The sequence below is a fragment of the Homo sapiens genome, chromosome 14, assembly GCF_000001405.40.
Source record: "Homo sapiens chromosome 14, GRCh38.p14 Primary Assembly".
In the NCBI taxonomy this organism is placed as follows: Eukaryota; Metazoa; Chordata; class Mammalia; order Primates; family Hominidae; genus Homo; species Homo sapiens.
Window position 1 is genome coordinate 61849974 of NC_000014.9, and position 27551 is coordinate 61877524.

General features: G+C 38.3%; 1 protein-coding gene and 1 pseudogene across 10 annotated transcripts in view; both read left to right on the forward strand.

Annotated features, from left to right (window-relative positions):
- Positions 1–27551, forward strand: part of SYT16 (synaptotagmin 16) — a 300664-nt gene that overhangs the window by 37812 nt on the left and 235301 nt on the right. The gene's annotated exons all lie outside the window — the stretch shown is intronic.
- Positions 14238–16176, forward strand: MOCS3P1 (molybdenum cofactor synthesis 3 pseudogene 1; annotated as a pseudogene).

Consider the following 27551-nt stretch of genomic DNA (forward strand, 5'->3'; position numbering starts at 1 on the left):
ATAGATATTGAACTAATTTACATTCCCACCAACAATATGAGTTTTCCCTTTTCTCTGCATCCATTCCAACATCTGTTGTTTTTGACTTTTTAGTAATAGTCATTCTGACTGGTGTAAGATGGTATCTCAGTGTGGTTTTAATTTGCATTTTTTTCTTTTTCTTTTTCTTTTTTTTTTTGAGACGGACTTTTGCTCCTGTCACCCAGGCTGGAGTGCAATGGTGTGATCTCGGCTCACTGCAACCTCTGCCTCCTGGGTTCAAGTGATTCTCCTGCCTTAGCTTCCCTAGTAGCTGGGATTACAGGCACCTGCCACCATGCCTGGCTAATTTTTGTATTTTTAGTAGAGATGGGGTTTCACCATGTTGGCCAGGCTGGTCTCAAACTCCTGACCTTAGATTATCTGCCTACCTTGGCCTCCCAGAGTGCTGGGATTACAGGCATGAGCCACCGTGCCTGGCCTAATTTGCATTTTTCTGATAGTGATGTTGAACTTTTTTTTCATGTGGTTTGTTAGCTGTTTGCATTTCTTCTTTTAAGAAGTGTACATATCATTTGCCTATTTTTAATGGTGTTGGTTGTTCTTAAAATAAAAAACATTTTTATCTAACTTTATTATGTCTACCCAGTAAGTAAATTGTAAACATTTCAAATAATGAGATTCTTTTATGTTTATCCCTTCAGTGCCCTCCACATCAGATGCATTCAACAAAAATCTATTGCTTTGGTTTGGATGAAAATGCCTGTAATCTTTCTATTTGCCCTATTATGTGTTGGTAATCATTAGTGAATCAGAATGTTCTTCAGATTACTTTTGAGGCCAACATTATATTTTCTTGAGTTTTAAACTTGTGAAAGGGTTAAGGGGATGAATTGGCTGTTGTGAAAACAGCAGTTACTCTGAAAGATTATTATTATTTTTTCTTAAACTTTTATTTTTATTTTAAATTCAGGGGTACATGTACAAGATGTGCAGGTTTGTTATATAGATAAATGTGTGTCATGATGGTTTGCTGCACAAATCATCCCATCACCTACGTATTAAGCCCAGCATCCATTAGCTGTTCTTCCTGATGCTCTCCCTCCTCCCACCCCACCCTCCAACAGGCCCCAGTGTGTGTTGTTTCTCCCCATGTGTCCATATGTTCTCATCATTCAACTCCCACTTACAAGTGAGAACATGTGGTGTTTGGTTTCCTGTACCTGCATTAGTTTGCTGAGGATAGTGGCTTCCAAGTCCACCCATGTCCCTGCAAAGGATATGATCTTGCTCCTTTTTATGGCTGCATAGTATTCCATGGTGTATATGTACCACATTTTCTTTATCCAGTCTATCATTGATGGGCATTTAGGTTGACTCCATGTCTTTGCTATTGTGAATAGTGCTGCAATGAACATACGTATGCAGGTATCTTTATAATAGAATGATGTATATTCCTTTGGGTGTATACCAAGTAATGGGATTGCTGGGTCAAATGGTATTTCTGCCTCTAGGTCTTTGAGGAATCACCACACTGTCTTCCACAATGGTTGAACTAACTTACACTCCCACCAGTAGTGTAAAAGCATCCCTTTTCCTCCACAACCTTGCCAGCACCTGTTGTTTTTTGACTTTTTAATAACAGCCATTCTGACTGGCACGAGGTGATGTCTCACTGTGGTTTTGATTTGCATTTCTCTAATAATCAGTGATGTTGAGCTTTGTTTCATGTTTGTTGGTTGCATGTATGTCTTCTTTTGAGAAGTGTCTATTCATGTCTTTTGCCCACTTTTTAATGGGGTTGTTTGCTTTTTTTCTTGCAAATTTGTTTAAGTTCCTTGTAGACTCTGGATATTAGACCTTCATCGGATGGATAGATTGCAAAAATTTTCTTCCATTCTGTAGCTTATCTCTTCCCTCTGATAATTTATTTTGCTGTGCAGAAGCTCTTTAATTAGATCCCATTTGTCAATTTTTGCTTTCGTTGCAATTGCTTTTGGCATTTTCATCATGAAATCTTTGCCAATGCCTATATCCTGAATTCAATGCCTATATCCTGTATTGCCTAGATTTTCTTCCAGAGTTTTTATAGTTTTGGGTTTTACATTTAAGTCTTTACTCTATCTTGAGTTAATTTTTGTCTATGGTTTAAGGAAGGGTTCCCATTTCAATATTCTACATATGGATAGCCAGTTTTCCCAGCACCATTTATTAAATAGGGAATCCTTTCCCCATTGCTTTTTTTTTGTCAGATTTGTTGAAGATCAGATGGTTGTAGGTGTGCAGTCTTATTTCTGAGATGTCTATTCTGTTCCATTGGTCTATGTGTCTGTTTTTGTACCAGTACTGTGCTGTTTTGGTTACTGTAGCCTTGTAGGATAGTTTGAAGTTGAGTAGCGTGATACTTCCAGCTTTGTTCTTTTTGTTTAGGATTGTCTTGGCTATTCAGGCTCTTTTTGGTTCCATTTGAATTTTAAAATAGTTTTTTTCTAATTCTGTAAAGAACATCAATGGTAGTTTAATAGGAATAGCATTGAATCTATAAACTACTTTGGGCAGTATGGCCATTTTCATGATATTGATTCTCCTATCCAAGAGCATGGAATGTTTCTCTATTTATTTGTGTCCTCTCTGATTTCTTTGAGCAGTGGTTTGTAGTTCTACTTGAAGAGGTTCTTCGCTTCCCTTGTTAGCTGTATTCCTAGGTATTTTATTCTTTTTGTGGCAATTGTGAGTGGCAATTCATTCATGATTTGGCTCTCTGCTTGCCTGTTGTTGGTGTATAGGAATGCTTGTGATTTTTGCATGTTGGTTTTGTATCCTGAGACTTTGCTGGGAAAGATTATTTAAAAAGCAACATATCTTTTTCATTTGAAAGAAAGTTAATTAGGATTTTTAAAAGTCAAATTGATACTGTAAACACAGAGGTTTATTGCCTGTTATATTATTGATGATTTAAAGCATGGAGTTTGACTTTTTGTTTTGAGATGGAGTCTCACTCTGTTGCCCAGACTGGAGTGCAGGGGCGTGATCTTGGCTTACTGCAACCTCCACCTCCCAGGTTCAAGTGATTCTCCTGCCTCAGCCTCCTGAGTAGCTGGCATTACAGGCATCTGCCACCATGCCCAACTAATTTTTGTATTTTTAGTAGAGATGGGGTTTCACCATGTTGGCCAGGCTGGTCTCAAACTCCTGACCTCAAATGATCCACCCGCTTTGGCCTCCCAAAGTGCTGGGATTACAGGCATAAGCCACTGCACCTGGCCTTGTTGTTCTTTACTTGTCCCAAACAGACAGAGCTTTAAAGTCAGAAGAATTAAAATTGTTTTGGACCCTTGAGTCACTGGGGCCCTTTAGAGGCTGGGCATCTTTTCACTATTGCTATATTCAGGGTCAGTTTTTAATCTGCAATGAGAAACCTACTGTTATGGTTTGAGAGTTTGTGTCTCCCCAAGTACATGTGTTGAAATCCTAACCCTCAAGATGATGGCATTAGGAAGAGGTGATAAGGTCATGAGGGCAGAACCTTCATAAATGGGAATAGTGCTAAGGCCTTCATAAAATAGGGCTAAGGCCTTCTGCTATCTTCTTTGTACCTTCTACACAGGGAGAAGGTACCATCTATGAATCAGGAAACAGAACTTCACCAGATACCAGATCTGCTGGCACTTTGATCTTGGAACTTTCCAGACTCCATAACTGCAAGAAATAAATTGCTATTGTTTTTAAGCCGCTAGCTTATGGCATTTTGTTACAGCAGTCTGAATGGACAAAGACACTTACATGTTGCAAATGGGAAAATTTGGGGATAGGAAACGGATGGGTTTTTAAGGAAGGAGCTTCTCGGGGAAATAGTAGTGGGAGCACAATTTATTATTGGAGGTCTTTCAGTCTGTGATTACCTTTGGAATTATTAGGATTTCTCATGGACATCTTATTCATCAAGGACATAAAATTTGAACTTTTGATCTAATGTCTAAATGTGTCTCTATATACATGCATATTGATACTGTAAGTCAAAAAGGTGTACACATAATACACGTAATCTATGAACATCATAGTTTACCCTACCATACTTTAAATATGCTCAGAACACTTGCTTTAGCCTATATATATTAGGTTGATACACACACACCCCCACCCCAATATGTGTATGTGTACATACACATATGCACATACACACATGTATACATGTATATATACTTTTTCCAGAGATATACTTGTGAGATTGAAAGAAGGTATTAGTATTCATTATGCAACTTTAAACTTGGGTTCTAGATCACACCACTGTGAATTAAGGTATTTATATATCTAGTGATTATCTTGTAAATAATATAATTTTGCCACTTTTTTCAAAAGGGGCTAATTTGTTGAATGAAAAAATTTAAAATATACTCCAATGATGTTAAAATCTCTTCTGGCATTTCCTAATTTTTATTATACTAACTTTACCTAGTTTTAATCATACTACACACACACGCGCGCACGCGCGTGCACATGCTTATACCTCTCTCGGAGATCCTTGTCACTATTACTATAGTAAGAAATAGTAAGTGGATTGGCTTTTGCTTGTGCCTTTCCTTTTTTCACATGTTCAATGTTTATAATGTCACTGCTCTGGTTTGCCAACCCAGAAAGTCAGCCCATCTGGGAGTCCTTCTTGTGCATTTGTTTAGGGAGAAAACTGGTTTCCTTGGACTCCTTTGACCAATTTAGCAAAGTGAGGAAAGAGAGGAACCCAACATTGATTGCCTCCCTAGAAACATACGCATCACTCGTGGTTATTCTATCTTGTGTATATATGTGTGTATACATTCATATGGAGCAGCAGTTTTTTGCAGTGTGTTTTTCTCCACACTTACCTAAAGTTTATAAAAACTGTTGCTTATTCTTTTTTTTTTTCCCACTAGCTTAGCCCATGGCATGCACAGTGAATATTTCCACCACTCCCACCCTGCCTCTATATATAGAAGAGGACTTGTGGGATCTTTCTTTTGCTTGTCTCATATTAGTGAAAATCTAGCACCTTGGGTTTTTCTCTCATCACACTTGCTTGTATAGGAAATGGGGAAGCAAGGTTATATGAGTACCTTATCTACAAGGACTGAGATAAATTTATTGATTGTTAGCTTGGTGTCCAAAAAGTTTTTCTCTTTTTGTCATTCATTAACTACAAATCAAAGACAGAGTCCTTCAAGTCAAAAGGTGACTTAGGGCATATTTACATTTTCAGAATCTATTTAATGCTATCTGAGTCCAAGTTAATTTCCTAAGGAAGGTAAGGAACAAGTTTATCTTGCACCTATTGGTGGATTAATTAGACTATAATTTTGCATGGAACTACAGATGTATACAGATGCTCCTTGACTTATGATGGGGTTGTGTCCTGATCAACCCATCGTAAGTTGAAAATAATTGTAAGTCGAAAATGTGTTTAATACACATAACCTGCCAAACATCATAGTTTAGCCTACACTACCTTTAATATGCTCACAACACTTATACTGGCCTAGAGTTGGGCAAACTTATCTAGCACAAAACCTATTTTATAATAAATTATTGAATATCTCATGTAATATATTGAATACTGTACTGAAAGTGAGAAACAGGATGGTTTTGTGGGTACTCAAAGTATGGTTTCTACTGAATACATATTGCTTTTGCACCACTGTAATGTTGAAAAAAATCTTGAGTTGAACCATCCTAAGTTGGGGACTATCTGTATGTGTATTTAATAGGATGACTATTAAACTACTAGAAACTATTATAAAAAATTTACCATCATAAGAGTAGAGTGGTAATTATGTTGTTATTTATTTATCAGTTATAATGCCTAGGCAAAGTTTTTCTACTTCTTCATGATTAGGGAGCAGAATCCAACAGACCCATGAAAGAGGGTCCAGTCCTTTTGTAATAAACCTGAATGGTTTGAATAAATCTAAACTGACTCAGCTGAAAAAAAGACTCTTACAAGTAACATTTAAAATTAACATGTGAATTTTATATCTTCCCATTCAAATGTTATCTCCAATGTCTGCAAAGGGATATAAAAAGGAGGAGCCAGGAGTGTATGTGGTGTGGTTGAGGGATGGCGGGGGGTCAGTCCACCTGGAGCAGAGCGAGTGGAAGGGAGTGCAGGAGGAGGGAGGTTAGAGAAATGATGGACAGCCAGATGTGACGGGATGGCCCCTGGAAACTGGCAGGAAGGCTTTGGATTTTACTTTGAATGAGATCTGAAGCTATGAAGAGTTTTGATAACAGAATAATGTTATCTAACACATACATCTCAACAGGATTGCTCTGGCTGCTGCTTTGACGGTCAACTAAAGATGGGTGACAGTGGCATCAGGTAGAATGTAGACAACAGATGATGGCAGCAGGGGAGTAGCAGTGGAAATGGTGAGAATAGTCAGATTTTGGAGATATACACACACTTATCTCCAATATAATATTTTATACATATGCACATATACTATTTAATACATACATACTATTTTGAGGATAGAACAGACAGGATTTGCAGACAGACTGAAGTATGAGAGATACTGAAGATCATTCTAAAGTTTTTGCCCTGAGAAACTGGAGGGCAGGAGATGCCATAAATTTAGAGGGGAAGACTGTGGAAGGAGCGGGTTTGGGCGGGTGAGGGTTGGGGATGAGTGGAGATCAGGAATTTCGTTTTGGGAACACCAAGTCTGAGATGTCTATTAAACATCCTATTGGAGATATTGAATAAGCAGTTAGGTGTTTGAGTCTGGAGATCAAAGGAAAGATCTGGGCTTGATATAGAAATATGGGAGTCATCAGCATTTGGGAGATGTTAAACACCATGATTTGACATCACCAATGGAGTAAGCATAGGCATGGGAGACATGTGGCCAAGGACCCAGAGTTTAGGGAGGAAGACCTAGCAGGGATGAGAAGGAGCGGTCAATGAGGTAGGAGGAAACACACGATATTTAATATCCTAGAAGCCAAGAAAAATCTGCTTCAAAAAAGAGAATGATCAACCATGTCAAATGTGGTTAAGTTAGATGAGGATCATCTTAGTTTGGGTTCTCTAAGGCAGAGATGGTGGACAAGGTATTTATTTGGGAGATGATCCCAGGAACAGGAATGAGAGAGCAGAGAAGTGAGATAGTGAAAGAAGAAAGCCAATAAAGGGTGTGTTATTGAGATGGTTGCTCCAGACTGTGGGGTCAGCTCCACTGAGACATCTAAGAAGGATGTAAAGCGCCAGCCACAATTTTCTGCTCAGACAATGGGAAGCTGGGACATGTGTCTGGTCCCCCTTGGTTGAGGGTTTTCTTGAGAGTGTTAACTCTTCTCTACTTCTGGGATTTGCAAGCTCTTGTGGGAGAAACCTTGAGGCTGAAAGCAGAGAGAGATGAGGTGGGTGCTTGTTAAGGAATGCTGTTAATGAGCACGGAACCAACTGCAGCTATGACTGAAATTAGAGGTGGGCCCAGGGAACATGACATGTACCATAGAAAGTGTCTACTTCGAAGATTGACAGTTGACTGCCAGAGTTTACAAAGTGAGTTTCCCTAGTGACCTTGAGAAAGCAATGTAATGGAGTGGTGGGGTAAGCCTGGCTGGAGTTGGTTAAGGAAGAGGGGCTGGAAAGAGCATATAGACAGTACTAAAGGAGAGTGCAGTCAAGAGGCTGGAGGGGAAGTGGGAGCAAGAGATTTTCTTCTTAAGATGGGAGAAATAATAGCATGTACAGTGATAGGAATAACTCAGTAGAAAGGGAAAAATCTCTGATGCAGGAGAGAAAGAATTGATGGAACAGTGTCTTTGAGTAGAAGAGAGGTTGGAATCCAGTGCATAAATGGAGGATTTGACCTAAGATGGGAACACAAGCAATTCATCTCTAATAAAAGGGAAGAAAGAGTATATGGAAGGAAAGTTTGGTCCCTTCTGATTGTCTGTCTGTCTGTCTGTCATTTTGACAGGGGGAAAAAACATTCAAAATTTATTTTCCAGCAGACAGCATCAGTGGATAAAACTACAGGGGTTTCTCTGTAGATCATACATTCACAAGACATTATCATCTCAACAGTGAGAAAGCCACTGTTGTGTTCTCCGTAACAGTATCCACTTCACAGTGTAAGCATGTACTATTGTGTTCACTTACAATTCCAGAAGGAAAGGCACAGCTTGGCAAAAAAAAAAAAAAAAAAAAAAAGAAAGAAAAAAAGAAAAAAAAAATTGGGGAATCCTAAAGTCAAGGTGCAATAACTAAGAGACAAAACTTGGCAAACAGTCTTAGGTCCACATTTCAATCAGGGCCTTCCGCATACAGGGGAAAGACTTTTCCACCCAGAAGTTAGGATCTTTCTTTCTCCTTTCCCGTTAAGCCATTAGAGGAACAATAATTCATATGCTCAATGTTATTACATGTACAAAAGGAGATTATAAAAAAATGGAATAAAAAGATCATCTTGAACATTCAGTTCTTCCCACCAATACATCAACTCTTAAGTTTAAGACAGGGCCTGGGAATACTTCAGTGGTCTTAAAATAGGAAAGCAGAGACTATGACTACAACAAATAAAAAATAAATGAGGTAGATAAAATAAAGCTTTCACACCCAGGATTTGCCTGTTCCAACTTCCTAGGCTTCATGAAATACCCAGGAAAAAAAATCTTCATAATTACTTGGCATAAGTCGCACCAAGGAAATTAAACAAAAAAATTAGTACGTGAACTTGTGATAGGAAACGTGTCCTTCCATAAGTTTCTTCTCAAGAATGAAAAACTAGTTTTTCAATAGAGTAGGCACTGATACAGGGGTTAAGAAGAAATCACTTAGGCAGATAGTAAGGTTATGGGAGTCCTCGGTAAGGCTTTTTAATGAAAAGCAGCCCCAAATCATTTTCTTTTTTCTTTTCTTTTCTTTTCTTTTTTTTTTTTTGAGACGGAGTCTCACTCTGTTGCCCAGGCTGGAGTGCGGCTGTGCGATCTCGGCTCACTGCAACCTCCGCCTCCTGGGTTCACGCCATTCTCCTGCCTCAGCCTCCCGAGTAGCTGGGACTACAGGCGCCCACCACTACGCCCGGCTAATTTTTTTTTTTGTATTTTTAGTAGAGACGGGGTTTCACCATGTTAGCCAGGATGGTCTTGATCTCCTGACCTCATGATTCGCCCGCCTCGGCCTCCCAAAGTGTTGGGATTACAGGCGTGAGCCACCGCGCCCGGCCAGCCCCAAATCATTTTCTAACAAAGAGCAGCCTGTAAAGTCGAGCTGCAGACGTAGACAGCCAACCTGGGAGCTTGCGCTAGTGAATGCTGGCGGGAACTAGGGACTAGACATGTTGGCTCCATCTTCCTTTAGGTGCCAGCCATGTGTACAGTAAAGAGCGACAAGATGGCGGCCAGACACGGAGAGTTCATTAGCATAATAAGATTAGGGTGGGGTGACCGGATTTGGGCGTGCTATGTAAACTTCACATTTGATTAAACCAATCTGTGAGCCCTACCTACCTAAATCAGACACCACCTCCTCAAGCTTTACTATACAATCCGGCACATCCACAGCCAGCCCATCTTTTCCGCTCGGAAAACCCCTCTCTCTCTCGACAGAGAGAGCTGTTTCTCTTCTTCTGCCTATTAAACCTTTACTCCTAAAGGTTTAGGACACAGACACAAACTCCTTGTGTCTGTGTCCTAAATTTTCCAATGCCAAATGGTGAGCCCCTGGATATATACCCCAGACAATGTAGCCTCCTCAGCACTGGAAAACCAAATTAAGTCACCTGAGATTCCTAGCTCAAGTGCTCACAGGAAGATGAAGGCATCTGGGAAGTGTGGGGAGGACATTGGCACACTTGGGGCTCCAAGCGAACTATATTATAATAAGCAGCAACACATTGACTCCCTAAAGACTAACATAAATCCATTTGAAGGCATCTTAAGGTTCTAAGGTTGAAATAATTTTATAATTCTTTGTTTGGAAAAGTACATTCAAAAGAAAACAAAAAGATGTGGATAAGGTCGGGGACATATAAAACAAGTCCCTAAATAGATGACAGACCTTGTCCATATACCCACATACAGTTGCCACAGAAATAAACAGTACCCTTCTCCTCAATTAGGCTCAATAGTTGTCTTTTCCACTGTGGTTCAGTACGTTTTAATGGTTCCACCTTGAAATAGGTAACAATCTTTGGAAAAAGTCACTCTAGGTTGCACAAAGGTTTTATGTTTACAGTTTGGTACAAGTAACAAAGCTACTTTGAAAGAACTGCTTCTTTCCAAACAACAACAACAACAACAACAAACCATTCTAGCCTGTATTTGTTTGGGTGTGATTTATTTTTAGTTTTCATTTTTTGCAAAGCAGCACAGAAGCAATTATAGGAGTGTAGTAATAACCTTTGTAAACATCATTTGCATATCAGTAAGAACTGATTGTCTTTCATTCCTTTTTAGTGAAAGAGGAAGCAAGATGATCAACTCAGAGTGAATAAGGTGGGGAGGTGCTGGCAATTTGAGATTTGTCATCTAGGACTGCAGTGCACAAAGTGGCCAGTTGGGGAGCCCTTGGTTACTGACTTGCCAGGAGATGAGTACAGAAAGTGAGAGCAAGCTTTTAGAAACTGTTATAGCACTTGACATTGCTGTAACATTTTTATTGTATTTTTAAAAAGTATTGGTCTATAATAGATTGGAAATAAAAACATCTAGTCCTCACAGCAGATAGTTTAAGAGGCACTGGGCCAAGAGAATGGGAGAAAATGGAGTAGGGAAAAGTAGAAAGATTGCTGCACTACATTGAGGATCCACCTGAGGCTTGAGGCCATGAATTTCATGTGAGGCCATTCGATTCAAGAGTGTTTTTCTCCAGCCTTGTTTAGCTATGTTGATACAGGCAGTGTTGGATTTTACCAGGGTGTGGTTTTGCTAAGTGGGCCTAATGCAGTGGGAAGATGCAAGTGTTGAGGAAGTATTCAAGTGAGGTGTACGGAGACTGACCATGGCATTTTAAGCTGGGGGAAGAAGAAAGCAATCGGAGGAGGGTGAGAGGCAGTGACGAAAGTGGTAGGATGGATGGAATCTAGGACCAGGAAGAATCAAGTTGGCTGGAGTTGGAATGTAGGACCAGCAAGGAGTGAACTAGAAGTATGGAAGGTGGTGATCAGAGAGTGGGATTTCTGATAATGAGATTCATCACAATACTGCTCACCAACTGGGAGGGAATCTGAATTAATTATTTTGTATATATCCAGTGGACTATTTTGTAGCCATTAGAGCTCATGTTGTCATTCTATTTCTTTATGGGCACAGAAATGTTCAGGATATCTTAAGTGAAAAAAGCTTACCAATTTGCAAAATTAAGTGGCAAAATTTACTAATTTTTTTTGGTAAAAATATAAACATTTTAATGCACAGAAGTCTTAACTGTGGTAGTATCTGGATGGTTGAATCACAGATGCCTTTTACTTTCTTTCGGATAATCTCCTTTTTGTTTTCGAGACAGGGTCTCCCTCTGTTGCCCAGGCTGGAGTGCAGTGCAAACATGACTCACTACAGCCTTGATCTCTTGGGCTCAGGCTCTTGCTTCAGCCCCCCACGTAGCTGGGACCACAGGCACGTGCCACCATGCCTGGCTTATTTTTATATTTTTTGTAGAAAGGGGGTTTTGGCATGTTGCCCAGGCTGGTCTCGAATTCCTGGGCTCAAGCAATCTGCCCACATTGGCCTCCCAACGTGCTGGGATTACAGGTATGGGCCACCATGCCCAGCCTGTTTGATAGAATTCTTACATAGGCATATTTTAGAGATACTGGGGATTCAGTTCCAGCCTATTGCAATAAAGCAAGTATCTCAATAAAGTGAGTCACACAAATGTTTTGGTTTCCTAGTGCATATAAAAGTTACGTTTACACCATGCTATAGTTTATTAAGTATACAATAGCATCATATCCAAAAAAATACCTACCTTAATGAAATATACTTTATTGCTAAAAAAATACTGGCACAGAGTCACAAAGTGAGCACATACTTTGGAAAAATAGTGCTGACAGACTTGCTTGATGTAGGGTTGCTACAAACTTTCAATTTGTAAAAAAAACACACACAATATCTGCAAATCACAATAAAATGAAGCGCAATAAAGTGAGTTATGTGTGCTTTATTGTTATATTCTTATAGCTTTATGAAAGTATAATTTGCATGCAAAAATTCACCAGTTTTAAGTGTACCATCCTATAACTTTTGACAAGTGTGTAGTTTTGAAACTACCACCACATTCATCTTGTAGAACATTTCTCTCATGCCAAAAAATTTCCCTTGTCGCCCATTGCAGTCAGTCTCCTCTCCCACCTCCCGGACCCTGGAAACCAGTGATCTGCTTTCCATCATGATAGTTTTGTCTTCTCTAAAATTTTATATAGATGGGATCATATCATATGTCATCCTTTGTGTCTGGCTTCTTTCACTTAACATAATGCTTTGGAGATTCATCATTGTTCTTGTGTGCATCAATGTTTATTCCCTTTTAAAAAGTAGACATATTTTAGAGTAGTTTTAGGTTCACACTAAAATTGAAGGGGAGGTGCAGGGATTTCCCACCCATGCCCTGCCCCTACACATGCACAGCCTTCTTCACTATCAGCATCTCCCACTAGACTGATACATTTGTTAACACTGAGGAACCTACCCTGGCATATCATCATCATCCAGAGTCCATTAAGGTTCACTCTTGGTGTTGTACATTCTCTGAGTTTGGACAAATGTATAGTGACATGTATTCATTATAGTATCATACAGAGTAGTTTCACTGCCCTAAACATTTTCTGTGCTCTGTCCATTCGTCCTTCTACCCTTTCTAACCCCTGGCAATTACTGATATTTTTACTGTCTCCACAGTTTTTGTCTTTTCCATAATGTCATATGGTTGGAATCATACAGGATATAACCTTTTCAGATTGACTTCTTTCACTTTGTAATATGCATTTAAATTTCCTCCATGGCTTGTCATGGGTTGATAGCTTATTTCTTTTTAGCACCGAATAATGTTCTATTGTCTAGATTCACCACAGTTTGTTTATCCATTTACCTATTGAGGGACATCTTGGTTGCTTCCAAGTTTTGGCAATTATGAGTAAAGCTGCTATAAACATTCATGTGCAGTTTTTTGTGTGGACATATATTTTCACGTCCTTTGGGTAAATCCTAAGGAGAATGACTGCTGGATCATATGGTAAAAGTGTGTTTAGTTTGTTAAGAAACTTCCAAACCGTCTTCCAAAGTGGTTGTACCATTTTGCATTCCCACCAGCAGTGAATGAGAGTTCCTGTTGTTCCGCAACCTCTCCAGCATTTGGTGTTGCCAGTGTTCTGGATTTTGGCTATTCTTATACATGGTATCTCATTGTTTTAATTTACCTTTCCCTGACAACATATAATCTGGAACATCTTTTTACATGTTTATTTGCCATCTGCGCATCTTCTTTGGTGAGGTGTTTGTAAAGCTCTTTGGCCCATTTTTCAATCAGGTTGTTTGTGTTCTTACTGTTGAATTTTAAGAGTTCTTTGTATATTTTGGATAACAGTTCTTTATCAGATAGTGTTTTGCAAATATCTTATTCCAGTCTGTGGCATATGTTCTCATTCACTTGACTTTCTCTTTCACAGAGCGGAAAGATTTAATTTTAATAAAGTCCAACTTATCAATTCTTTCTTTTGTGGATTGTGCCTTTGCTGCCGCATGTAAAAAATCATCACCAAATCCAGATCATCCAGATTTTCTCCTATGTTATCTTCTAGGGGTTTTGTAGTTTAGTGTTTTACATTTAAGGCTGTGATCCATTTTGAGTTAATTTTTGTGAAGGGTGAAATGTCTGTCTAGATTCATTTTTTTTTTGCATATCAATGCCCAGTTGTTCCAGCACCAGTCGTGGAAAAGATTATCTTTGCTCCATTGTATTGCCTTTGCTCCTTTGTCAAAAATCAGTTGACTGTATGTATGTGGGTCTAATTCTTGGCCCTCTGTTTTATTCTATTGATCGATTTATTCTTTCACCAATGCTACATTGTCTGTAGTTTTATAGCACGTCTTGAAGTTGGGTAGTATCAGTCCTCCAACTTTGTTCTTCTTCAATACTGCATGGACTATTCTGGTAATTTGTTCTGTTTTATGTGGAGGAATATACTTTTGTATGAATAGACCACAATTTGTTTATCCATTCACCAATTGGTAGACTTGGGGTTGTTTCAAATTTTCCACTATTATGAATAAAACTATTACGACCCAGGAGGAGGTACTCCCCTTACAGGCTGACGTTGTCCAACGTGAGGAGGAATTGAATTCCCTGAAGCAGAAGCTGGCAGCGGCCCTTTTGGCGGAGCAGGAACCGCAGCCAGAACGACTGGTTTCGGTGTTGCAGCTGCCGCGGAAGGCCGCTGTGTTCCAAGATGAGATTCTGCGCTCTAGCCGGCAGTTAGTGCTGCCCGAGCTGGGCGTGCACAGACACGTGCTAGTCGTGGGCTGCGGTGGGCTCCGCTGTCCACTGGCGCAGTACTTGGCAGCGGCCAGCGTGGGCCGCCTTGGCCTTGTGGATTATGATGTGGTAGAGATGAGCAACCTGGCCTACCAAGTGCTGCATGGCGAGGCACTGGCTGCACAGGCCAAGGCCGCTTCGGCCGCCGCCTCGCTGCGCGGCCTCAATTTGGCGGTGGAATGAGTGCGGTACTCTCAGGCCCTTTTATGCCGGTCCCTACCCTAGACCCGCTCCGCCGATATGATGTGGTGGCGACTGCTCGGACAACGTGTCCACTCGCTACCTGGTTAATGACGCATGTGGCTGGCCGGTTGGGCCCTAGTGTCTGCCAGCGCCTGGAGGGCTAAATCACAGTCTACCATTATGACGGTGGGCCTTGCTATCGCTGCATATTCTCCCAGCCACCCCCGGCGGAGACAGTGACCAACTGCGCGGATGGCGGGATGCTCCGTGTCTTAACCGGGGTCCTGGGCTGCCTGCAGGCCTTGAAAGTGCTGAAAATTGCTGCGAGTCTGGGCCCCTCTTACAGTGGCAGCCTGTTGCTCTTTGATGCCCTGAGAGGGCATTTCTGCTGTATTCGGCTGCGGAGCTGCAGGCTCGACTGTGCAGCTTGCGGGAAATGGCCCACTGTGACTCATCTGCTGGACTATGAAGCCTTCTGTGGCTCCTCAGCCACCGATAAATGCCGCTCCCTGCAGTTACTGGGCCCAGAGGATCGTGTTTCTGTCACTGACTATAAGCGACTTCTGGATTCTGGGGCACCCCATCTGTTGCTGGACATCAGGCCTAAGATGGAGGTGAGCATCTGTCTTTTGCCTCATGCCCTACACATCCCTCTGAACGCAGGGATGCGGAGAGCCTGAAGCTCTTAGGAGAAGCAGTCCGGAAAGGGAAACAGGGCACACAAGAAGGGGCTGCTCTCCTCATTTATGTGATTTACAAACTGGGAAATGAATCACAGAAAGCCGTGAAGATCCTCCAGGCCTCATCAGCAGCTCAAGAGTTAGACTATTTAACAGTTTGGAATATTGTGGGGGACCTCATGGCCTGGGCTGCCCAAAACGGTGGAACATTTCCACAGTACTAAGGTGACTGGTATAGTCTGATGGGAAAGATGTGGATTGCCGTAATACCGCAAAGATATATTTATTTGCATTTTTCAGTAATATACATAGGAGCTGGAGATTCTACAGTATCTGTGAATACATGGACTCCTTTTTTATAAAGAGTTTTAAAAATTGTTATATATTGGGTGACTTATTAATGGATTATACTGTTTCTGGGAATCATCATTTTTTTTCAGCACATGGAGGGTGTCTTGAACATGTGAGATGTAATGTGACAGGATTTTGTATTTAAGCTGCAGATCATTTACCTGTCCTTATTTTCCACCTCCCCCAGTCAAAATGCTTTCTAAATCATTTTATATCTGGAATTAAGGTGCAGTAAACTTAGTCTTACGAAATTGATCACAGATTATATACTTAGGATCAGTTTACTGTTTACTTAAGAAATTATTGGATCTTATTAATATTTCAGATGATAGAATACATCCTACAGAAATACATGTTTAAAATGTAAGTTGTTTTAATTATTCAGAAAGTGGGTCATTCTATTTGGCATTTTGAATTAGTATCAAAATGAGATCTTTAAAGTTTACCAAAATAAAGGAAACCACCTTTGTAGTCTGAAAAAAAAAACTATTATGAATACTCGTGTATAAGTATTTGTGTGGATACATGCTTTAATTTTTCTTGGGTAAATACCTAGGAGTTGACTTGCTGGGGCTGGGTTATATGGTAGATGGGTACACATTTAGCTCTACAAAAAATTGCCAAAAAAGGAAGAGGAGGGTGGGGGAGAAAGGAAAAAATAATTGCCAAAATGTTTTCCATAGTGGCTGTACCATTTTGTATTCTCCCTAGCAATGTATGACATTTCCAGTTGCTTTACATCTTCTATTATACTTGATATCATCAATTTATTTTTATTTTTGTCATTCTCATGGTTATAACAAGGTATCTCATGTTGGTTTTAATTTGCATTTTTCCAATGACTAATGATGTTGACCATCTTCTCATATGCTTATTTGCCATCTATACCTATTCTTTGGTAATATATGTGTTCAAATCTTTTGTTCATTTAAAAATTATGTTTGTCTTATTATTGCATTATGAGGGTTCTTTAGTGTGCATACAAGTTCTTTGTCAGATATGTATTTTGCAAATACTCTCCTGTAGTCTGTGGCTTGCCTTTTAGTTTTTCTAACAGCATGCTTTAAAGAGTAAAAATTTTAAATTTTGATAAAATCCAATTATTTTTTCTTTTATATTTAGTGCCTTCTGTGTTCTACAGAAGAAATCTTTGCCTAATCCAAAGTCAAAAGAATTTTCTCCAATGTTTTTTCCTAGAAGTTTTATAGTTTTAGATGTTACATTTAGATCTGTGATGCATTTTATATTTTTGCTTATGTTGTGAGCTAAGGGTCTAGGCTCATTTTTTTTTTCATATGCACATGTAATTATTTTAATAGCACTTGTTGAGATTATCCTTTCCCGGTTGCATTATCTAGGCATTTTTCCTGAAAAGTATTTATATATGTTTGAGATTATTTCTGGAGTCTCTCTTCTCTTTCATTGTTCTATGTGTCTATCTTTATGCTAATATCATACTGCTTTGATTACTGTAGCTTTATATATAATAAGTGTTGAAATCAGGTAGTGTAAATCTTTTTCTTTTTCATTTTTTCAATCCTGTTTTGGGTAATCTAGGTCATTTTATTTCCATGTCAATTTTAGAATTAACTCATCATTTTCTGTGAATAAATTCTTCCTGGATTTTCTTGTTTGTACGTTAAAATTTGTTGAGAAAAAGAAATAAATGGCATATAGGTTGAAAAGGAGGAAGTAAAACCCTTTATTTGCTGATTTAACCTCACGGTGACTCATTTTCTCATGCGGTTTGTGAGAATTTTGCTAGTTTGTCTTCAGTGAATTTCCCCTGTAGCCAACGTCTAGAAGACCCATATGCTCTGAACTATGAATTGGAATCTACATAAAAGCTACGAGAATTAATAAATGAGTCTAACAAGATGCAAGGGAAAATATACAAAAATTGTTTTTCTATATACTAGCAATTAACTTAAAACAATATTATTTACAATGAAAATACATTACTATTTACAATAAAAAACAATACTATTTACATCAGCATAAGAAATATGACAGACTTAGGAAGTGATTTAACAAGTTTGTACTGTTGAATAGGATGACCTTGCTCCCAGTCTTGGGGGAAAGCATTTAGTCTTTTACCATTAAGTCTGCTGTTGCTTGTAGATTTTTCAAAGATGCTCTTTATGAAGTTGAGGCAGTTTCCTTCTATTCCTAGTTTGCTGAAAGTTTTGATCAAAAATAGATGTTGAATTTTGCCAAGTGCTTTTTCTGCATCTGTAGAGAAGATCATATGGTTTTCTTTAACTAGTCTGTTAATATGTTGAATTACATTGAGTTTTGAATGTTGAATCAGTCTTGTATTATTGGGATAAACTCCACTTGTTCTTATGTATTACCTCTTTTAGGTTGGGTTTCTTTGGATAACATTTTAAGAGTTTTGTGTGTCTATATTCTTGTTCATGAAAAATATTGGTCTAAATTTTCTTTCCCTAAAGTAGAGAGTAGAATAATAGTTGCCAGAGTCTGGGAAGGGTAGTCTGGGAAGGATTTAAAGAGATGTTCTTTCTCTCTTTTCTGAGAATGGTGTCTTCTCTCTTTTTTTAATCTTAATCAGTGTGATTAGAGGTTTATCAATTTTATTGTTTTTTCCAAAGAAATAACATTTGGTTTAGATTTTTTTGTTATTTAAAAAAATTTTATTTCCTTAATTTTTGCTTTCATCTGCTTATTATTACCTTTCATCTGCTTACTTTGTTATATTTTGCTCTTATTTGTCAGATTTCTTAAAATGGAAGCATTGATTTTAAATATTTGTATTTTTATAATATAAGCACTACTTTTGCTGCATTGCATTCATTTTGGTATATTTTGTCTTCATTTTTATTCATTTCAAAAAATTTTTAAATTTCCCTTTTGACTTCTTTTAATCATGGGATATTTATAAGTATGTTCTTTAGTTTCCAAATATTTGGGGGAACTGTCTAGAAACCTTTTTATTATTGATTTCTTATTTAACTCTCTTTCAATAACATTTGTATGAGATGATTCCTTTTAAATGTGTTAAGACTTGTTTTGTTGCCCAGATTATGGTCTGGGTAAATGTCCCATGTTCACTTTATAAGAATATTTTGTTTTTGTTGGTTGTTCTATAAATGCTGATTAATTTTATTGATAGTGTTTTTCTAGTGTTTTATATCCTTACTGAATTTCTGTCTACTTTTTCTATCAATTATTGAGGTTCTGGTATTAAAATATCCAACAATGCTTATGAATTAGTCTGTACATTTATCCTTCTAATTCCATCAGCATTTGCTTCATGCATTTTGAAGTTTTTTATTATCTGAATAAACATTCAAGATTTCTATGTACTCCTGATGACTTGATCCCTTTATGATTATGAAATGATCCTTTTCTTTGGTAATATTTTATTGTGAAATTTAACCTTAGTATAGCCACTCAGCTTTATTTCGGTTAGTTTTAGTGTGGTTTATCTTTTTTCTATCTTTTTTACTTGTAATAATTCTGTCTTTTTACTTAAAGAGTATTTCCTGCAGATAGCATACATAGTTGAGTATTGTCCTTTTATCCAATTTTATAGTCTGTTTTTTAGTTGGTGAGTTTAGACATTTCCATTTAAGGTTGGATTTAAACCTACCATTTTATTATTTGTTTTCTATTTGTCTTACCGTCTTTATTCTTTTTGCTTTGTTTCTACCTTCTTTTGGATTAAATGAAAATTTATTAATATTATATTTTAGGTTTTTTTGGCTTATTAGCTCTATCTTTTTTGTTGTTTAATGGTTGCTCTAGAGTTTACAGTATAACTTTTAAATTTATCAACATCTACTTTCAAATAATATTACAGTGATTTCCACATATTTTAAGAAACTTAAAATTGTATAGTTCTATTTCTCTTGGTCTTTGTGTTGTTGTCATACATTTTACTGCCACATATGTTATACACCCAACTGCTGTGGACTGAATGTTTGTATCCCTCCACAACTCACCTATTGAAGCCTAATGCCCAATGTGATGGCATTTGTAGGTGAAAGCTTTGGGAGATAGTTAGGTCAAGAGAATGGATCCCTCATGAATGAGATTAGGGTCCTTATAATAAGAGACATGAGAGAGTTTTCTTTCCCTTTTTTTGTTCTCTGCCATGTGAGGTTATGAAGAGAAGATGGCTATCTGCAAACCTGGGAGCAGGCTCTAACCAGACACTACATCTTCCAGTGCCTTGAACTTGGACTTCCCTCCCCACAGAACTGTGAGAAATAAATATTTGTTGTTTAAACCACCCAATCTGCTAATTTGTTATAGAAGCCCAAATTGACCAAGATACACAACAATATGTTATTATCTTTGCTTTAGAAGTTATCTTCTAAGTATATTAAAAATAAGAAAAAATTTATATCTAGTCACTCTTTTACCATTTCTGATGCTCTTCATCCCTTTGTGTAGATACAAATTTCCATCTGGTATTATTTGCCTTTTACTGAAGGACTTCCTTTACTATGTGCAATGATGCTCATGATATATTCTTTTAGATTTTGCATGTCTGAAAAAGTATTTACTTTCATTTTTGAAGGATATTTTTGCTAGATATAGACTTCTAGTTTGCCAGCTATTTTGTTCATTGCTTTAAATACGTTGTTCCACTGTCTTCTGACTTGCATTGTTTCTGATGAGAAATATATTGTCATTCTCATTGCTGTTCCTTTGTATGTAATGTGATATCTTTTTTTTTTCTTGCCTGCTTTTCAGTTTTTCTTTGTCACTGTTTTTTTAGATACCTGATGATGATGTACTTTAGTTTGGTGTTCTTATTGTTTCTGCTTGGGGTTTACCAAACTCCTTGGATATGTAGGTTTATAATTTTCTTCATATTGGTAAACTTTTTTGGCCAATTGTTTCTTCAAATATTTTTGCTACACTTCTTTTCTCTGAAACTCCAGTTATATGTATGGTAGGCCACATGATGTTATCTTCTTTTGAGTTTCTTTTCTTAAAAGTCTTTTTACTCTGTGTGTTTTATTTTGTCTAGGTTTTATTGCAATGTCTTCATGTCCCTAAATCTTCTACAATAACTAATCTGTTAATCTCATCAGTGTATTTTTCATCTCAGTTATTATATTATTCATCTCCATAAATTTGACCTATGTCTCTTTTTATCTTCCATTTCTGTTCTCAATATGCCTTTGTGGAGTACATTTATAATAGCCGTTTTAACTACCTTGCCTAATAATTCTATAATCTCTGTCATTACTGGGTCTGTTTCTAGTTATTGAATCCCTCCCACTCCCACTCCCCATTTTTCTTTTTTGCCTGCCTGGTAATTTTTGGTTGGATGTTAGATATTGTGAATTTTATATTGTTGGACGGTGGTTCATTTTATTTCTTTAAGTATTTTTGGCTATGTTCTGGAAGGCAGTTAAGCCAGCTTGACTTCATCTAGTTTTGTTGAAACTTGCTTTTAAACCTTTTTAGATGGGTATAAATCATCCGATAATCTACTGCTAATTTGGCCCTACTAATGAGGCAATCAACCTTTAAGTATTCCACTTTATACTCTATATATTAGTATTTTTTGCCCACTGGCTAGTGACAATGTAAATTATTCCCAGCTTTTTATGAGCTCTAGGGATTTTTTGATTGTACCTTTCTGGTGGTTCTTTTCCTGGTCTTGTTAGTTTCTTAATACACATGTGCTGATCTGTACTCAAAGACTCAAAGGAAATCCTGTCTGTGAATGTCTCTTCTGCAGTGCTTTACCCCACAAATTCTAGTCACTGTGGCTTCCCCAAACTCCACCCTGCTTCTATTCAACTCAGCAAGACTCTGTTCTGGGTCTGTTTGGGCTCCCCTTCCCTGTCCCGTGACCTGCTCTCCAGGCAGTGAGCTGGAGCACCCACAGGGATCACTTCATTCATTTATTCTTTCTCTCAGGGATCACCATTTAGTGTTGCCTGCTTTCCTGCATCTTTAAAAACCATTATTTTATATATTTTGTCCAGTGTTGTGGTTGTTTAAGGCAGAAAGATAAATTTAATCCCTATTACTATATTATGATCAGAGCTGGATTCCTTAACTTTTTCACATGAAATTACAATAATTATAAAAACAATACCGCATTATAGACAATATATTAAATGATATAAAATGCCCTTCTATAAAGTGTTGTCATAGCACATTTTCTTTCAGTAGTTTTTGTCCTCTATGAAGTTTTTAGGCAATATTGTTGGTAAAATGAGACTTTGGAGTTGCTTGACCCTACAATTTATTATCACTGTTCCATTTTTAATTCTTTTTTATTTTGGGAATATTATCTTCTTTAAGACTCATTTTCTTACCAGTAAAATGTGTGGGTAATTGTACCTTCCTTGCAATATTGTAGCAGGGATTGAAAATAAAATATGAAGTATTCAATAAATAGTAGTTATCAATAGTTTCAATTACACTATGTATGCAGCTTCATACCTTGATTTTAAAACAATTATAAACATTTGCTATATTGTCTTATAGCATTGATTGATGCATAATGAATGGCCCAATGCATACTCATAAACTCTTCCCTTATTTTTGTTTATTTCTTTGTAAATACATATTTTTAATTGATATATAATAGATGTACCTATTTTTAGAGTACATATATAATGTTTTGATACTTTCATATAATGTGTAAAGATCAAGTCAGGGTAATTGGGATATCAATCCTCTTAAATATTTATCTTTTTTTAATGTTAGGTCTTCCCTTATTTTTGGATATCTGGTTTATTTATAATTTTCTCCCTTAATATACCATCATACCTGGGGCTGTCTTATCTAAATTTAAAAGTTCTTAATACAGCCAATTTGAAGATAAGTCTTGATTTGAAACATGTTTGAGATCTTCCTGCATTAGTTCACATGAATTTAACTGGATCTCAGCAGCTTCAACTCTTCATTGTGCTTTTCCTGCCCCTTCCTGTTTCTTCTCAAGAGAAGACAATTTCTTGCTCATTATTTTCTGTGGTAACTGAGAAGAGGAACTGAGTAGAAAGGTGTTGGGCTGCTAAGACCCAGGGCACATCCCATATAGAATTCTTTCTACTCTGTTTTGTGCTTTGGGGAATACAGACGTTGGTTCAGCTGCCCTCATCACAGCTCATGGCTTCTCTTGTTTTATTCTCTTTCAGGGCAGGGAGTTAGCTCTTGTCTGGATGCCTAATTCAATCTCTATTGACTATGTTTAGTTTTGCATAAATTGTTTACACATTGGTAAAAATAATTCATTAATCTTTTCTGGTAAACAGTTACAATGACAATAATTTGATTTTGAGTAGAATACAGATGAGACTCATATTAAAACGTTGTATTCATAGGTAGGATGTATCCAAAAGCAATTTCATTAGCCTTATCTGTTTGTTTTTTTCATGAAAGGCAATCATTTGTTAAAGAGGGTTCAATGTTTTACTGAGAATGGGCCAACTAAAATATTGATTATAGATAGATCCTTCCTGGGAAAAGAGGACCCATGAGTTATAAAAACCTGTGAAATTTAAGTATATGATCTCAAATAGTCCCTAATGTTTGCTATTGCAAGCTTGGAGAGTCCTTGGTTGAAAAAGCATAATTCTTTCCCCGAAAGAGTTATAGGCTTTTCCCATTATCTGAAGAGAAACCACCATGTCACAGCCAATCAGGAATGAAATGGGATGAGAGGATGGATAGGCATTTTTTCCTGGTTCATCTCAGGCCTCTTTCTGTCATGCTGGGTTTGCCTCGCTTCTCCTTAACAAACCGTCTTTCCTTTTTCTCCTACTGTCTTTCCACCAGAGCCCTGGCTGCCACTGGCCCCTTCCTTCGTACTTACTGCCTATGCCCATTGGCCACAGAGCTTGATGTTGTTCAGAATATTCACCTGAAAATGAATCTCTTTTGTGAATAACATTTATTCATAGCCTAACTTTGATGCATTTTTAAAAAATCATTTTCTCACATGAGTAGGGGAGGTACAAAGTGAGCAAAGTGGGAAGAGAATCCATGTGTAATACCCCAAGGGTGAATATTCACAGGAGTGCTAAAATGTCCCTAATTAATGAACCATTTCCTATTCTGACCAGTAATCTAAGCTATCCATCATCATATAAAAAACAGAACTACATGTTATGATAGCCAAAAGTAGGATGATGTCTTCCTCTACCCTGTGGTCTTTTAGGAAACCATAACTGATGGCAGTTCTTTCTAGAGGTATTAAAACGGGATGGTGGGCCTTTTAAAATTTTCGTATGTATTGTGAAATGTTGGATATGTTTAGTGAGGAGTTGTCAGTGTTTTAAGTAAAGGAGAATATATTCTGCCTTCAGTAATTGCATTAATACTCAGAATAATTAATACTCAGAAAAATACTCAGATTAATACTCAGAAATACTCAGAAAAATGTGATGACCAATTTTGGAGGTGAATTTGGGGGTAAGAGCTGCTGATGGCACCAGCGTTATAGAGGATGGTGAATATGAACTGTGAACTCTAGTTGCATAGAATTTTGCAAAACAATTTTGTTCCTATTGACAAGGGACAGTCCCTTTCAAAGACATTACTGTGGAACTCTATTAAGTGCAGGAGAGGAAAGTGTGACCTGGAAATACAGTTGACCCTTGAACAATGTGGGCTTGGACTGTGTGGATCCACTCACATGTGGATGTTTTCCTACCAGACAGCATTTGCGGGATGTGAATGCCACATATCTGGAGGGCCGACTTTTTGTATGAGTGGGTTCCACAGGGCCTACTGCAGGACTTGAGTGTATGTGGATTTTTTTATATGAGGGGGTGATGGTTCCTAGAACAAATCCCTTGTGTATACCGAGGAACAACTGTACATACACAATATATTTTTATATCAGACAAGGTACAGAGAATATTTCTTTCTTGTGTCATCACACGTTTGTGCCCAGGTATTACAGTGCTTCAAAGATAAGTCTTCATACCTTTAATTTATATTTGAAAAAAAGTTAGAGTCCATCCAGATGAGACTCTTTGGGACCATAAAGTAGACAATTTTCTCTGTAGTATCCAAACTGAAAGCCTAAATGGCTCTTGTATTAAATAGGCTAGTTTTATAGAATTTAACATTTTCAGAGCCAATGCAGCAAGATTTTTTTTTTTTTTTTTTACATGTTCTAACACTTTGCACATAAGAAATTTTCCATTTGGTGTGAGGCATGTGCCAAATGATGGAATGTATTGCCACGTTAGAGTCTGGTTATTCTAAATATAAAATTAAAAGGAAAAGTAGGGAGATGAGCTCCAGAAAATGGAAAGAAAACACACTGAATTTTTTCTCTTTGGGGAGAGTTTTATTCTGGGGACATTGGAATAGTTACCTGAGCATTCAAAACTTTGCTATGCAAAGTGCAGTTGTGGATCAGTAACCTGCCTGGGAGCTTGTTAGAGCTGTGGAATTTTAGGCGTACTAAATCAGTCTACATTTTGGCACAATTGCCATGAGATTCATAAGCAGATTACAGTTTGAGAAGCATTGCTCAAAATTGATAAGGGCTGCTCTGTGCATCACCTGATATCAGTGTTATGGCTTTAGAGTATAGATGTAATGCTTCTTGATCCTTGGGGAATATTCTTATACAAAAAGGGCTGTGTCAACCTGTATCTCCCTTCTGTGACTTTGACCTTTCTATGTTTGGTTACATTCCTAGTTGGAAGTGAGGAATCAGGGAATCTTTGGGAATTAGAGAAATTTATGTGGATTGGGTGTACATAAAATAAAGACCGAAAACTCAAGAATTAGGAAAGAGATGGACAATTTTGAAGGGTAACGAAAACTTCAAGGATATTATTGGTTTTCATGTGGTTAAAACATTAAAATTTTTTTTCTCATGTAAGGTTTTTGGTTGTGGCAATAAACACCAGTGCTGGTTGATTTAAGCAGCAAATGAATTGTTTAAAAGATGCTGCTTGGTTCACAGATTCTGGGAGGGCTGGAGAGCCAGATTGTAGCTATGAAGCCAGGGACAGAGTCCAAGTCAGCCTGTAGAGCTGGGTTGGTGGATACTCCTGTTACTGCAGAGCACTAAAGGCTGCAGATGGCACCCCAGGTGCCATTGGTACCAAACCATGCATGCCTGCACCAGACCTGCATTGTGGGGCCTCTGTATTCCTTATGGCATCTCTATTCCCAGAGGGAACACTGGGTGATCTCTGTACACTGGGGTGCGTATGTCTGATTGGTGGTGTCTAGACCATGTTCCTTTGTCCCAGGTGCCAAGGAAGCTGGGAAAGCAAGTCTTTGGTATTTTTGCAGTCATTGTGGAAGGTGACCACTGCCTTGTTAGGTTGGGGAATTTCCCAAACCCAGTTCTAACCTAGGGTTCAGATACAGGTGGATAAAAAGAATGATAGATGCTTGATAGAGTTGCGTGTTTGTGTGTGTGCGTGTGTGTGTGCACATGCACGTGTGTGTGAGTGCGTGTTTACTGTGTTTACTAGGGATATTTATTTCAATAGGGCATCTTCCTGAATTTATGATGCAGGTTGATAATGGAAAAATCGGATTCATTTTGCATAATTTTGCTTTTTGGTTAAAAATGCTAACATACATATAAAATCAAGAGTACCGATACTTGTTTCAGGTTGCATTTAACCAGGAAAAATCTTGTGTTCTGTGAGATTGAACAGCTTCCTCGCACTCACGCTGAAATGTGCAGTTCATTGCATTTGCTTTCTAAATGAGAACCACATTTAATGAAACCCTGACCATGTAATCAAGATAATGAGGGATTTTTAATTTGGGTGAGTGACTCAGTTGTGGAGTACACACTTTGACTTGTGTTCGGATGGGAGGTTGAGAAATTATCACTGCCTTGGTGTACATGAGACACAAAGCAGAAAACAAAATCAGCATGCGCTGTGTCATATTTGTACTGAGATAACACCGAGGAACAGCTGTGACTCTTTCAAATGACTCCATTTGTTTGATAATTGCTGGGTAAAAATAGTGCCACTATTGGCTATTTCAGGAAGACAGATGGCGTTCTAGATTATGTTCCTTTCCTTGTACCCAAAAAGAACAGGACCAAGTCTTTCTGAAAATTACTGTCTGTGTGTGTGAAATAGCATCGGGGAAGGGGACAGCGCATTTCAAGCTTTTGCCCCGCAGGTAGGTAGGAAGCAGGGGCTGAGCCGTAAAGGAAACAGGGAATTCAATTATTCCAGCCTGAGCTAGGGTGGGAAATCAAGGCATCTGTCTGTTGCTTAGGAACAGAAATATCTTGTGCTTCAGCTACAGTTGGAGAAACCAGGTCATTTACTTTGAGAGTTCACCTACTGGTTATCCAAACAGAGCTGAAGGAGAAAGCACCTCTTTTCTCCTCCTGGCAGGGGTTGTTTTTCTCATCAGACCTCCTACCTTTCTTCCACTCAGCAAATTCTCTGTTGTTCCTAATGCATTGTCTCAAAACTGTGCCAATCAAATGACAGTACTACCTGGGGAGGCGGGTGGGAGATGATCGGTTTTCTTCGGGAGCTGGTCCTTGGGTCTTCTTCCCTCCCAGGAAGCCTGGGGACTGGCGGTGGTGGAGTGCAGTACTCCGCCTTTTGTCTGAATGGCAGGCATGTGATGGTTTGACATCTGGTTGGCATTCTTGTCTGCACCTCAGGGAGGGAAGGTTGTCACACACACACTCCCACAGTCCGACAGTTAGGTCTGGGGTCAGGCAGGGAGGCAGAAACACAGATCTTTTGTGAAGTATGAGGACTCCACTTCCTGTGCTAAGGGAGGACCATGAATTGCAACCTTACCCGTGTATATGAATCTCTTTGAGATCTTTCCAAAAAACACACACCTGAGACTTACACCCAGAAATTCTGCTTCGTTAGATCTGAGGTATAACCTGG